The sequence below is a fragment of the Homo sapiens genome, chromosome 4 (assembly GCF_000001405.40).
Source record: "Homo sapiens chromosome 4, GRCh38.p14 Primary Assembly".
NCBI lineage: Eukaryota > Metazoa > Chordata > Mammalia > Primates > Hominidae > Homo > Homo sapiens.
In genome coordinates, this window is record NC_000004.12 from 90,890,614 (window position 1) to 90,904,923 (window position 14,310).

At 33.4% G+C, this 14,310-nt stretch overlaps 1 protein-coding gene across 28 annotated transcripts in view; it reads left to right on the plus strand.

Annotated features, from left to right (window-relative positions):
• The window catches only part of CCSER1 (coiled-coil serine rich protein 1), a 1,477,902-nt gene that overhangs the window by 763,220 nt on the left and 700,372 nt on the right, over nt 1–14,310 (plus strand). Inside the window, exon 10 of one of the 28 annotated variants that reach the window (XM_011531956.3) lies at nt 18–506. The exons of the other annotated variants lie outside the window; for them this stretch is intronic. Coding sequence (XP_011530258.1) covers nt 18–35 — 18 coding nt within the window. The 3' untranslated portion in view covers nt 36–506. Of the gene's footprint in view, nt 1–17; nt 507–14,310 lie in introns of those variants that run through there. 28 annotated transcript variants of the gene reach the window in all.

Genomic DNA, 14,310 nt, shown 5'->3' on the forward strand with positions numbered 1-14,310 from the left:
GATTTCCCTTTCTCCAGAGCTTTCCTGTGGGATGAAGCCAAAGCCACCCTCTGAGATCTTGAAGCAGTCCTTTGGATGTACTTCTGTTTTCCTGACTTCCTCACTCTACTGCTGTTAGTTCTCCTCAGAGTACTTCCTAATAAATCACTTTCACAGGAATTCTCATCTCAGAGTCATCTGTTTCTGAGGATTCCAAGCAATAATATTTTGATTTATTTTGTTTTGGTTTGACATTGGTTTGTGTGAACTCTAATGTCTAGCATTAGATAAGGCACATAACTTCAGAAAAAATTGTAAAAAACTACTCTACTATAATCTGTATGAGTAAAACAAGTCAATGTAAATATCATTTTAAATAAGACCCATAAGAGACTATAGTTACATTACATAGCAAAGTAACAATAATATCCTGATGTAGATTCTTGGCATCTGTGAACTACTAACATAGATTCATGTAAATTAGATAATTTCCAAATAAAGTTAGGAAACTTAACAAAAATGTAATCTATTTTGAGAGTGAAACAGAAAAAGCAAATAATAAAAATATATAAATAATCAAACTAAAATAAATAAAAAACCAAGTGAATTGGTCAGTCTTATGAATGTATTTTAAAATGTAGAATTAATATAGTATACTAAGAGTAAGGTTTATTCTATATACAAAGGGATATTATTAATAAGTGGCTAATCAAATATATTTATATAATGTCAATGTCAAGTAAACACAAAGATTAACTCAATTTTGTGTTTTCATTTAACTTTAAATTAAAACAATGTTTTAAAAATACTATTTTTATAGTACTGGTAATATATATTATATACATATCTAATTTTTAAATTATTTATAAGGATTTAAAAATGCTTGCCTGTGGAAGTACATATTATTTTACAATACAAGAAATTACTTTGATAAATACTAATTGTGGGTTTAATCAGATCAGCTGAATGATATAAATTTACCTTAAGACTAAAATATTTCTGAGGGTGAGGACTCCTTTGATATATGCCAATGTATCAAAATACTTTTTTCTTCTGGCAAGTGAAATAAGAAGAAAAATCAGCACAACCACTATATCTGGCATTTATTTTCTCTCTTTTACCAGCTGGTTTCCTTGAATTCAACCTAAGAGTGCGGTTTTCATTTATGTGAAAAAAGTGTAAGGTTAACAGTACATTCACTCCTATTTTGCAAGGTATTTTTCTTTTGCTGATCAATAATTTCAAATACTGCTCTAAAGTTTTACTGTTTGACATACATCATTTTGACAGTTCCTTAAAGAACTTAAATGCTACCTACAAATGTAATATCAACAAGATCTATACTGGAGAGTAGTCTACACTGCTAAACCAACTTCATTCTTGCTGTAGTGGCAAACTGAAAAAGAAAATTCTCTTCCCCACCTTCTTCATTTTAATCCATGTAACTCATTTTATTAATGTGCATCATCCAGCAAAGTAAAATAAAAATTTGTTTTTTATCTTGTTAAACGTAGTGTTAGATTTTAAATACATTTATCTAAAGTGTATTTAATTACTGGCTTCACAAAATCTGAAGTTGAGAATTGCTACACATGGGTAGAGTTTTTTTGATAATTAAGAAAGGCTTATTTTTATACTGTTATATCTTTACTGGCAGTAGACCTTTAATTTTACATTTCTCATCCTGCTTTTATTTTCTAGCCCCTCTCCTTGCATTATTCCTTTTTAAAACTTTGACTAGATTAGGATTACATATACAAAGAATATGTAAAGTCACATAAAGCTGTAAACCATCCAAAGAAGGATTTTGCTTATTTGCCTGCTTTTCAGAAATTAGCATTACTACTCCAGCTTTCCTTTGATTTATATTTATTAGGTATATATTATCAATTATTTTATTTTCCATATTTCTGTGGAACATTATACATACAGCACATTGTTGGATTTTGTTCTCACGTCTTCAATTTAGTATCTTTGTCTTGTATTTGATTAGCTTAATCCATCTTCATTTATTTTAATTTCTAATTTTTTCCCATATCCTGGACTTCCTAATTCAATTCTAGAAAATTTTCTTGTGGTGTTTAACAGTTATGTAGGCCGATTTTATTATTGATTTCTTAACTTAAAAAATACATATATAATCACTTCTATTTCTTAAATGCGTAAATGACTTTATCTTCCATAATATGAAAGGAACACATTAGTATACCACATTTATTTCGCCTTGTGTTCTCTTCACCTCCCATTGCATTACTAATGCCTGGAATATTACTTCTAGTACTATGAATTTTTCTTTTCTTTGTTTATTCATTTACTGTAGTATATCACATTTATATAAAATGATTAGATTGCTGTATTAATACTGTGATTACAGAGGGCATTTATTTTGTTCAGTTAGTTGTATATCTTTTGGACTAAACTTCTGAGTACTACTATTCTCAGGCACCTACTTCGTTTGGCCTGTGAGCTCATATTATCTGTGCAATATTGGCTTTTTGGTGTTGGAGAAAGACCAAAGGCCAGACCATAGTCACTGTCAGTCTAGAGTAGTCCAAGGTGTATATATGTGGGAGTTAGGGCATAGGACATGGGCTTTCTAACAGAAAGTCCCACACACCACCAACCAGAGTTATTACTTGATTTTACAATGACCAAGCAAGAAACGACTCTACTCAGAATTTCACTCCTAAATCCTTTGGGAAGAGAATGTAAGGAAAGGACAGTTTTACAAAGCTGTAATCTGTAAAGCTTGGAAACTGGATTTCAGAAGTAAAGGACTGAATGTCTCTGGCATGTCAGCCCCCACATACTTTCACCTCACCCAGAAAAACCCCTGCCAATATAAATATTCACAACTGTAGTTTGAGGAAAAGAAGATAGGCATTGATTGTCCAAAAACAAGGAGATGGGAGGGTGGGATGGCAAGAGGTAAAGGAGAATTTAAACTGTCCTTCCGATGCTGTCTCTGGCTTCTCTTTGCCCTAAGCTGTGGCCACCCATTCACTCTTCACACAGAAACATTTAAAATAGACTTATTTCTGTTATTCTTCTTGTTAGATCTTGGATTCTGTCTTTCTCTCCTTATTTTGTTCTCAGCATTACTTTTACAAATATTAACCAGCAATCCATGCAAGTTGGACATCTTGTTGAACACCTGAATTCTTGTGTGTGTGTGTGTGTGTGCGTGTGTGTGTGTGTGTGGGGGGTGAATTTTTATCTCTATTCAATATGTGTTATTTATATAAATAATTTCTATTTAGCAGTCTATAATTTTTCCTGAAACTCATTTCCCGTGTTAAATTATTCACATATTTTCATTTTATGTTATTTTATTGTTTTACATACACTGACTTTATAGCTAGATAATATTGTTGTAGAGTTGAAAATCTATGTTTAACTTACAATAAAAAAAGTTATCCATGTAAAATGAAAATAGATGTTCTGAAATAGGGCCTTATAAATATTCCTTTGAAAGGACACTTCATGAAGTGTGAAAATGCCAAGCATCAGCTAATAAATCTTTGTGACAATTTCTGTTTAAATGCAATTTTTAAATAATGCACCAATTTAAAACGTAGAATAAATAACATAGTGAGACCAGAAATCTTATCCAAAATTGTATTCTGTTATGAATACAATTGAATACTGCTAGATATTACTTACTTTATAGCTTAAGAAATCTCCATGCATTATTTTAATGGCTCAAACCACCCTATCACATTTTTTTAAACTAAAACAATACAGCAGTCAAAGGAAATAGTTGATCTATGTTTGATACTATGCACATACTTATTTACATGAAAGCATCAACATGAGCGCATGGCCCTGTGTTGAAAATGCCGAGGCAACAAATACTGTAAGACAACTAATACTTGTTTAAATTTCAGTTCTTTTTGTTGATTCTTTTTACTCCCCAAAACAACTTGTTTGTTCCGGGAAACATTGACTATATAGTCTATTAGCTGCATCTCTCCCTATCCTCTCTCTACTCTGCCTCCCCTTTTTTGTCTTCTTCTCAACTTGCTTCTCCTGTTCATTTTTGCCTTATTCTTTCACCATTTCTTTCCTCCTCCTTCCTCACATTTTCTCCTCTTTTCCCTTCTCTTCTTCCTCCATTATCAAGTAGTAATGGTACCATTTCTCATACTTACAAGTGCCAATGATGGTTCTACTCATCATTCACCAGACACTTTCCATGTGCTGGACACTGTGCTTAGCTTTTTACTATATGAGTGATTACAGTTGGCAGTGCTCGGAATTCAATGGGAAGTTCAATTTAATTGGCATGTGGTTTGATTAAAATTATGCTCTGACAGTTTTAAAATTAGATTAAAATAGACTAATTAATTTAGATTAATCAAGATAAATTTTAAAACTCTAAAATTATGTGTATACACTTTTAATAAAATATATAGCTTCTTAATGTATACTTTGTCCCTAGGTTGATTTAAACATGGAGCAAAATATAATGCTTCAGGTGTAAATATTTAAGACAGTTCAAAATGAAATAACACTAAAATGAAATTAAATTGCTCATAAATTTATTATATAAGATTGTTATTCTTTAAAATATCCTGGCTGTATTCTTTCTTTTGCATTAGGACACCAGCCAAAAACCATATGGCACATAACATCAGTAAATGTTATCATATAACAATAATATTTAAGGGTGCCTGAAAATGGTCCTCTTGGAGAAAATTAGTTAATAATATAAGCAGATGCAAAATTGCCTCTAGGTAGGCATATATTTTTATCAGCAAAATATTTGATGATTGGCTTCCAAGGATAAATTCACTATAATTAACTTCTGTATTAAAATTGTTTACAAGAGATTGGTAACATTAGACAACTCAAACTGGGTTGTTCTCTGTAAGAATAAATGGAAGTCACAAGATTTGCCTTAAGCACCTCTTTCAAAAAGAATAAAAATACAGAAAACCATTTGTACTGTAATTGCAGGAATCAAACTAGTTTTACTTTATAGATTCACAATGAAGTAAAATGTATAAAATCATTTACATTTTAAATACCAAGGATCAAGGTCCCTAGCCCAGTTGAAGAAGGTAGAGTAAACATAGTTGAGGCTTTGGGTGAAGTATAATAAAAAATAAACCTATGTTAGAGAGCTTATCAGAATCTTTGAACAGAAAGTTGTATATATTATATATATATTTCTCCCCTGGGGCTTACAGTGTCCTGGAGAGTAGTATATCATACAAATAGCCAGTGACCAGACCATGAAGAACCAAATGAATAATGCTAAAGTATTTCAAACATATGTTGAATTTATAAGGGACCAATGAAACATGATCTGATTTTATTTTAGAAAGGTGAGTTTAGCTGCAGTATGGAGCATATATTAAGTGATACAAAACTGGAAGAGAGAACACAGTTAAATGGTTACTGCAGTGATTCCGGAGGAAAAAATATGAAGGGCTATACTAAACACTGGTAGATAAAACAGAGAGGAAGGAACAGCTCTAAAAGTTATTTAGGAAAAAGAATTATTTGAACTTATAACCAGAAAAATGTGAGAAGCTAAGTATCCAGGATGACCCCTAGGGTCTATAACGGGAGATTCTTTGATAGCAGTGCCTTTCACTGGTACAAGGAATCTGCACGAAGAAAAAATTAGAAGATGACGAAGTTTGTTTATTCTATGCTGATATTATGACATATCTAAGTGGGTATGCCTAGTAGGCAAACTGACATATGGGATGGGCATTGTTAAAAAGAAGTTGTATAGATTTTAGTAATAAAATGAGTGTAAGGAGAGAGGTGATCTTTCATAATTTTGGTTCACCAAGTTTCAGCTTTCTACTATTATTCATAGTTCTAATTCAAGTCAATTATTCTTAAGTGACTGGCATCACGAATATTTTGGTAATATTCTGAAAATAATTATTTAAAATTAATGGTCGTGAAGGGAAATTGGTATAATAGACAAATCAGATAAGGTAAAGTTAGTGTACATACAGCTGGTAATATTCATTTTCCCTTGCTAGTAAGCCAGTATGAACCTGAAATAACATAGTATGTTTACTAATCTAGCCAATATTTTTAAATATAAATCCAATACTGGGAGCACTGGTGAAAAACTGGTACACACATTTTATTTCTAGTGACATTTTTGCTTGTTAACAATATTTTGGGACACAATTTAACAAATATTTAGAATGAGCCATGAAGATATTCTTAAAATACTATTTGATTAATTCTATTCTTACAATTTAACTTAAGGAATAACTGAAAGTAAAAATAGAGATATGCAAAAAATGTTTAATGTGGTTCAAAAATTAGTCTAAATATCTTCAAGATTTATCAAATAACATAACAACAGCAAAATGCAATGGTACATAACCATTACAGATTCACATGTAAAGAAAGGAGAGTGAAATTAAAAGAATTTCTATGAGACATTGAATCTTACAAATTTTTCCTTTTTTCTCTGAAAATTGTATTTCAATTGAATTTTGTTTTATATTTGGGGACCAATTACACTTTTTTTTACTCTAAATAATATATACATATAAAATCATAACATTTTTATTTATTATGGATTCCTGGGTTCTTTTGCAGGTTTGTTACATGGGTATATTGTGTAATGCTAGTGTTTGGGTTTCAAGGGAACCCATCACCCAAATAGTGAAGAGAGTATCCAATAGGTGGTTTATCAACCCTCAACTCCCTCTCATAACCTCCCCTCTTTTGAAGTCCCCAATGTCTATTATTTCCATCTTTATATCCATGTGTACCCCTTATTTCCAATTCCCACTTATAAGTGAGAACATATGGTGTTTGATTTTCTGTTTCTGAGTTACTTCACTTAGGATAATGGCCTCCAGCTCTATCCATGTTGCTGTGAAGAACATAATTTCATTCTTCTATATGGCTCTGTAGAATTCCATGGTTTATAGACACCACATTTTCTTACCCAATTCTTGTTTGATAAACACTAAGGTTGGTTTCATGACTTTACTATTGTGAATAGTGCTGCAGTAAACATAAGAGTGCAAGTGTCTTTTTGATGAAAAGATCTTCCTTTGAGTAAATACCCAGTAGTGGGGTTGAAAGGTAGTTCTATTTTTAGTTCTTTGAGAAATCTTCTACCATTTTCCGTAGGAGTTGAACTAATTTACATTGTCCATGAACAGTATATAAGTATTCCCTTTTCTCCATATGTATACCAACATTTGTTATTTTTCAACTTTTTAATAAAAGCCATTCTGACTGGTTTGAGATGGTATCTCATTTGCATTTCTCTGATGATTAGTGATGTTGAAGGTTTTTTCATATGTTTGTTGGCAACTTGTATGTTTTCTTTAGAGAAGTGTCTGATGACCTTTGCCCACTTTTTGATGGAGTTATTTATTTTTTCTTGTTGATTGTTTAAGGTCCTTATAAATTTTGAATCTTAGTCCTTTATCAGAATCATAGTATGCAAATATTTTCTCCCATTCTGTAGGATGTATGTTTACTCTGTTTATAGTTTCTTTTGCTGTGCATAGCTCTTTAGTTTAAGTAAGTCCCATTTGTCTACTTTTCTTTTTGTTCCATTTGCTTTTGAGTTCTTTATCATAAATTATTTACTTAGGTGAATACACAGAAGAGTTTTTCCTAGATTTTCTTCTAGGATTCTTATAGTTTGAGGCCTTACTTTTAAATCTTTAATCCATCTTTTTTTTTTTTTTTTTTTTTTTTTTTTTTGAGACAGAGTCTTGCTCTTGTCGCCCAGGCTGGAGTGTAATAGCACGATCTCAGCTCACTGCAAACTCTAAGTTTCCAAGCAACTCTCCTGCCTCAGCCTCCTGAGTAGCTGGGATTGCAGGTGCCTGACACCATGCCTGGCTAATTTTTTTTTTTTTTTGTATTTTTAGTAGAGACGGGGTTTCACTATGTTGGCCAGGTTGGTCTTGAACTCTTGACCTCAGGTGATTCCCCCGCCTTGGCCTCCCAAAGTGGTGGAATTACAGGTGTGAGCCACCATCCCTGGCCTTAAATCTTTAATCTGTCTTGAGTTAATTTTTGTAGTATGTTGAGAAGTAAGGGTCCAGTTTAATTCTTCTGTATATAGCTAGCTAGTTCTCTCAGCACCATTTATTGAATAAGGAGTACTTTCCCCATTGTTTATTTTTGTATACTTGGTTGAAGATTAGTTCATTGTAGATGTGTGGCTTTTTTCTGGGTTCTCTATTCTGTTCCACTGCTCTATGTGTCTGTTTATGTATTGGTACCATACTGTCTTGGTTATTAGAGCCTTTTGTATGGTTTGAAGTTGGATAATGTACTGTCTCTGGTTTTGTTTTTAATGCTTATGATTGCTTTGGGTATTTAGGCATTTTTTGGTTCCATGTTATTTTTAGCATTGATTTTTCTAATTCTGTATAAAATGACATTGGTCATTTGATAGGAATTTATTTGAATCTGTAGATTTTTTTGGGATGTGTAGTCATTTTAACAACATTGGTTTGTTCTATCTATGAGCATATCATGTTTCTCTATTTCTTTGTGTCATTGATGATTTCTTTCACCAGTGTATTGTAGTTCTTGTTGTAGAGATGCTTCACCTTCTTGGTTAAATGAAATATATTTTTAGGTATTTTATTTTATTTTTTGTGGCAATTGTAAATGGAAGTGAATTCTTTATTTGGTTGTCAGCTTGAATATTGTTGATGTATAGAAATACAATTGATTTTGGGTACATTAATTTATGTCCTGCAACTTTATTTAATTCATTGATCAGGTCTAGGCATTTTTTGGAGGAATCTTTAGGGCTTTCTATGTATAAAATCATTTAATCACAAAGAGAGATAGTTTGACTTCCTCTCTTTTATTTACATGCCTTTTCTTTGTTTTGCTTGCCTGATTGCTCTGGCAAGGACTTCCAGTATTATGCTGTATAAGAGTGGTGAGAGTGGATATTCTTGTCTTGTTCTAGGTCTTAGAAAGAATTCTTTCAACTTTTACCATTCAGTATCATGTTGGTTGTGGGTTTGTGATATATGGATCTTATTATTTTGAGATATGTTTATTTGATGCCTAGATTGTTGAGGGTTTTTATCATGAAAGGATGTTGGATTTTATGTAAAACTTTTTCTGCCTCTACTGAGATAATGATAGGGTTTTTTAAAAATTTTGTTTATGTGATAAATCACGATGATTGATTTGCATATGTTGAACCATTGTTTCATCCTAGTAACAAAATTCACTTGATTGTTATGGATTATCTTTTGATGTGCTGTTTGATTTGGTTTGCTAGCATTGTACTGAGGATTTTTGCATCTGTGTTCATCAGGGATGTTGACTTATAGTTTTCTTTTTCTGTTGTGTCCTTGCCAGGTTTTCGTATCAAGGTGATACTCGTTTCCTAGAATGAATTAGGAAGCATTCCCCCCTCCTTGTTTGTTTTTAATAATTTCAGTAAGATTGGTACCAGATCTTCTTTGCAGATCTTCTTTGCCTATCTGATAGAATTCTGCTGTGAAACCCTCTGGTCCCAGAGTTTTTTTTTTTTTTTTTGTAGATATTTTTATTACTGATTCAATTTTGGAACTCATTATTGGTAGGCTCAGAGTTTCAGTTTCTTCCTGGTTCAATTTTTAGAGGTGGTGCAGTTCCAGGAATTTATCCATTACCTTTGGGTTTTCTAGATTGTCTGCGTAGAGATGTTCTTAGCAGTCTCTGAGAACGTATTGTATTTCTGTGGTATCAGTTGTAATGTCACTTTTGTCATTTCTGATGATGCTTACTGAAATCTATTTTTCTTGGTTAATGTAGCTAGTGGTCTATCAATTTTGTTTATCCTTTTAAAGAATCAACATTTTATTTCGTTTGAAATTTAGTAATATAAACTTTCCTCTTAACACTGCTTTTTCTGTGTCACAGAAGTGTTTGTATGTTGTGTCTCTATTTTCATTTGTTTCAACTTTTTAAATTTCTGCTTTAGTTATTTGCGCAAAAGTCATTCAGGAGCAAGTTGGGTTTTTATTTTGTTTGTTGTTTTTTTCATTTTCTTGTGTAGTTCTAGTATTGATTTCTAATTTTATTGCACTGTGGTCTGAGAAGTTGCTTGATATGACTTTGATTTCTTTGAATGTGTTGAGAATCTCTTTATGATCAAGAATGTGGTCAATTTTAGAGAATGTTCCATGAGCAGATAAGAAAAATGTATATTCTGCAATTTTTGGGTTGAGTGTTCTGTAGATTTTTTTAGGTCATTTGGTCAAGTCTAATTTAAGTTCAGAGTTTCTTTGTTAGTTTTCTGCTTGGATTATTGGTTTAGTGCTGTTGGTGGGGTGTTGCAGTTCCCCACTACTATTGGATGACTGTCTATCTCTTGGTCTAGTAGTATTTGTTCTATAAATCTGTGTGCTTTGATGTTACATGTGTGTATATTTAGGATAGTTAAATCTTCTTAAATTGAATCATTTAGCATCACATAATGCTCTAATTTGACTTTTTTTAAAAAAACTGTTGTTTATTTAAAGCCTGTTTTATCTGATACTAAAATAGCAACCCCTGCTCTTTCTTGTTTTTCATTTGCATGATACATCTTTCTTTATCTTTTTACTTTGAGCCTAGGGCTGTCATTTTGCATGAGATATGTCTCTTGAACGCAGTAGATGGTTGGGTCTCTCTTTTTTTTTAATCCGATTTTCCATTTTTGTCTTTTAAGTGGAGTATTTAGGCTGTTTACCTTCAAGGTTAATATTGATATGTGAGGTTTTGTTCCCATCATAGTATTGTTAGCTAGTTGCTTTGTAGTCTCAATTGTATAATTGCTTTACAGGATCTGTGAATTTTGTACTTATGGGTGCTTTTATGGTAGCAAGTATTGTCCTTTCATTTCCATGTTTAGAATTCCTTTGAACATTTATTATAGGGCCATTCTAGAAATCTCTTAGCATTTGTTTGTCTATGAAAGACATCGTTATTCATTTGATTATGAAGCTTCATTTTGAAGGATATAAATTCTTGGCTGGCATGTTTTTTTCTTTAAGAGGGTAAAAATAGGCCCCCAATCTCTTCTAGCTGATAAGGTTTTTGTTGAGAAGTCAGCTGTTAGTCTAATGGGATTTTCTTTATGGGTAACTTGTCCCTTTTCTCAAGCTGCCCTTAAGATTTTTTTCTCCCCCTTCATGTTGACCTTGGATAATCTCATGACTATGTGCTTTGGTGATGGTCATCTTGTGTAGTATCTTACAGGTGGTCTCTGATTTTCTTTCTTGTATTTGGATGTCAACCTCTCTAGAAAGGTTAGGGAAATTTTCCTAAATTATTTCTTCCAGTGTTTTCCAGGTTGTCTTTTTCTTCTTCCTCATGAATGCCAATATGTCATAGGTTTGGTTGTTTTTCATAATCCGATATTTCTTAAAGACTTTCTTCATTTTTTAAAGTTCTTTTGGCTTTATTTTTGTCTGAGTTAATTCAAAAACTGGCTTCCAATATCTAAAATTCTTTCTTCTGCTTGATCTAGGCTATTGTTAAAGCTTTCAATTGTATTTTGAAATTCCTTTCATGAATTTTTCAATACTATAAGTTCTATTTTTTTTATTTTGTTTTGTTTTGTTTTAGTATAGTTATGTCATGTTTTATATCTTGCATTTTTTTTCTGGTTTCTTTGTGCTGAATTTTAACTTTCTCTTGGATCACACTGAATTTCCTGGAAATACATATTTTGAATTATTCATATGTCATTTTAGATTTTTAATTTTGGTTAGGATCCATTGCTAGATAGCTAGTATGATCCTTTGGAAGATATCAAGATACTCTGGCTTTTTGTACTGCTCAAGTTGTGCTGATTCCTTCTCATCTAAGGGAGATGTACCTTTTTATTTTTGTTTTTGCTATCATTTGGATGGAAGATTTTTTTTTGTATTCCTTTCTCCCTTGAATGCTTGAATGTGTGATTGTGTTGTATGTTTTCTATGATATTTTGGCTTTATTTCTGGGTGCTTTGAGGGGCCCAGTGCTCTGTTTGGGTTCCTTATTTGGGGCTAGCTTCTGGCTTTTTCAGATGCTGCTTGTTGTAGTGATGTGTTAGACATATGCCTCCTGCAAGGCTTAGGGTGAGGAGGAAGGACTCAGGAAGCTTATTTTATGGACTAGCAGTGAGCCCTTCTGGCAGCAGGTTTTTAATTTGGTTGTACAGTTCAGGATCCAGTCCAGTAGATGGTGATTAAGAGTAACATCTGTCTTGCCCTCAAGTAGGTTGATGATGAGTGGAAGCACCTGCCCTGACCAAGTGGGATATGGCAGGCAGAGATCCTGTTGGGTGTATTGAGATCTCAGGGGAGGGGACAAGGGGATGGTGCACTAGCTCCTTGTCCTAAGCAGGCAGGGACATGATCCACTTCCCTATCATGCCCCTCTCACAGGGCACATGTTCATTTATATAGACTTTAACCTTTTGTTCCTGAATGCAGCACAGCTGCAGCTGGCAGGTACACCCTTTGGCTGCTACCACCGCACATTGACCATTCTCTAAAATTGACTACATTCTTGATCATAAACAGTGTCTCAATAAATTCAAAGAAATCAAAATCATATTGATATGGTTTGGCTGTGTCCCTCTCCAAATCTCAACTTGAATTGTATCTCCCAGAATTCCCATGTGTTGTTGGAGGGACCCAGGAGGAGGTCATCAAAACATGGTGACCAGCCTTTCCCATGCTATTCTCGTGGTAGTGAATAAGTTTCACAAGATCTGATGGGTTTATCAGGGGCTTCCACTTTTGCATCTTCTTCATTTTCTCTTGCCACCACTATGTAAGGAGTGCCTTTCACCTCCTGCCATGATTCTGAGGCCTCCTCAGCCGTCTGGATCTGTAAGTCCAATTGAACCTCTTTTTCTTCCCAGTCTCGGGTATGTCTTTATCAGCAGCATGAAAACAGACTAATATACATATCAAGCAACTTCTCAGACCACAGTGCAATAAAATTAGAAATCAATACCAAAACCACCAAGTAAATGGAAAGTAAACACCTTCCTCCACTCAAGGCACATGGCTACTGCCAGAGCTTTCAGGCACCACAATATGATTAGACTGTCATGGTTCATTGATTTTCAGGGAACAGATCTACTTCAATACAAAAATTAGCCAGATGCATTGGCAGGTGCCTGTAATCCCAGCTACTCAGGAGACTGAGGCAGGATAATCACTTGAACCCAGGGGTGGAGGTTTCAGTGAGCTAAGATCACACCACTGCACTCCAGCCTGGGTGACAGAGTGATACTCTGTCTCAAAAAAAAAAAAAAATAGGTAAGACAGGTAAACATAGTAACCAACCTGAAAGTAGTAAACATAGACATACATGAATTTTTACCTTTTATAGTTAAAATTTTACTATTGATTTTTAAATTCCTAATAATTTATTTAAATGAAAAATTAATAATTTTTTTTGACAGGAAACAAAACTGTACATGAAGTTGGCAACTTATGATTCTAACACCATTTACTGAGATCTTTTTATATGTTTATTTCTTTTGAATTGGTTTTGTTTCTTTGACTCTTGGTCTTGGTTTTATCTTTTCCTTGACTGGTTCTCTTTTGACTGTAATTGTCAGAAGGACAATTTGATTTATCTTAAACTAAACGGAAATTTATCAAAAGACCATGGGGATGACTCATCAAACAGGACTGAGAGCCAGTGCCAATACCAACTGTAATTAACAACACAATTGATACTTTCACTCTCTGCACTCATTTGTGCTGTTCTTTAATTTTGTCTTCTTTGCTTCCTGTTTTCTTTCTTTTTCTTTGTAGAAGCAAACCTCTGCTATTTCTCTGTTCTACTTGAGCATAAACTTAACCATTGTTTGCTCTCAAGCTTTTTTACTTTTGACTTAAGTACCACAAAAATATTAACTTATTTTCTTTTTATTCCTTATACCATAATTGCCAGAAAGGTTTCCTATTCTAGCTTGGAAAGAGGATCTGTTCCCTAAAAATCAATGAATCATGACAGTGTGATCATATTATAATGCCTGAATGCTCTGGCATTAGCCATGTGTCATGAGTGGAGGAAGGTAAAGTTCCCGGGAAAGTATGTATGTGTGACGGGAGCAATAAGGGGGGGCCTGGTCAGAAAAGTAGCATGTTTGCAACCATCTGAAACAACGAATGCATTCATGTAAAGATTCCTTGTGTTCTTAGCCCAGATACTAGCAGTATTTATAGCTTTCATCAGCTAAACCCTGTTATATGATGTGTATCACTACATACCTGCTTGGATGTTTCACAGTTATCTCACTTTTCATTATGCTCAGTATCTCCCATTCACCCTTATTTTCAGTTCATCCTGCTTCTTCTTCGCCCATTCATCCCATCT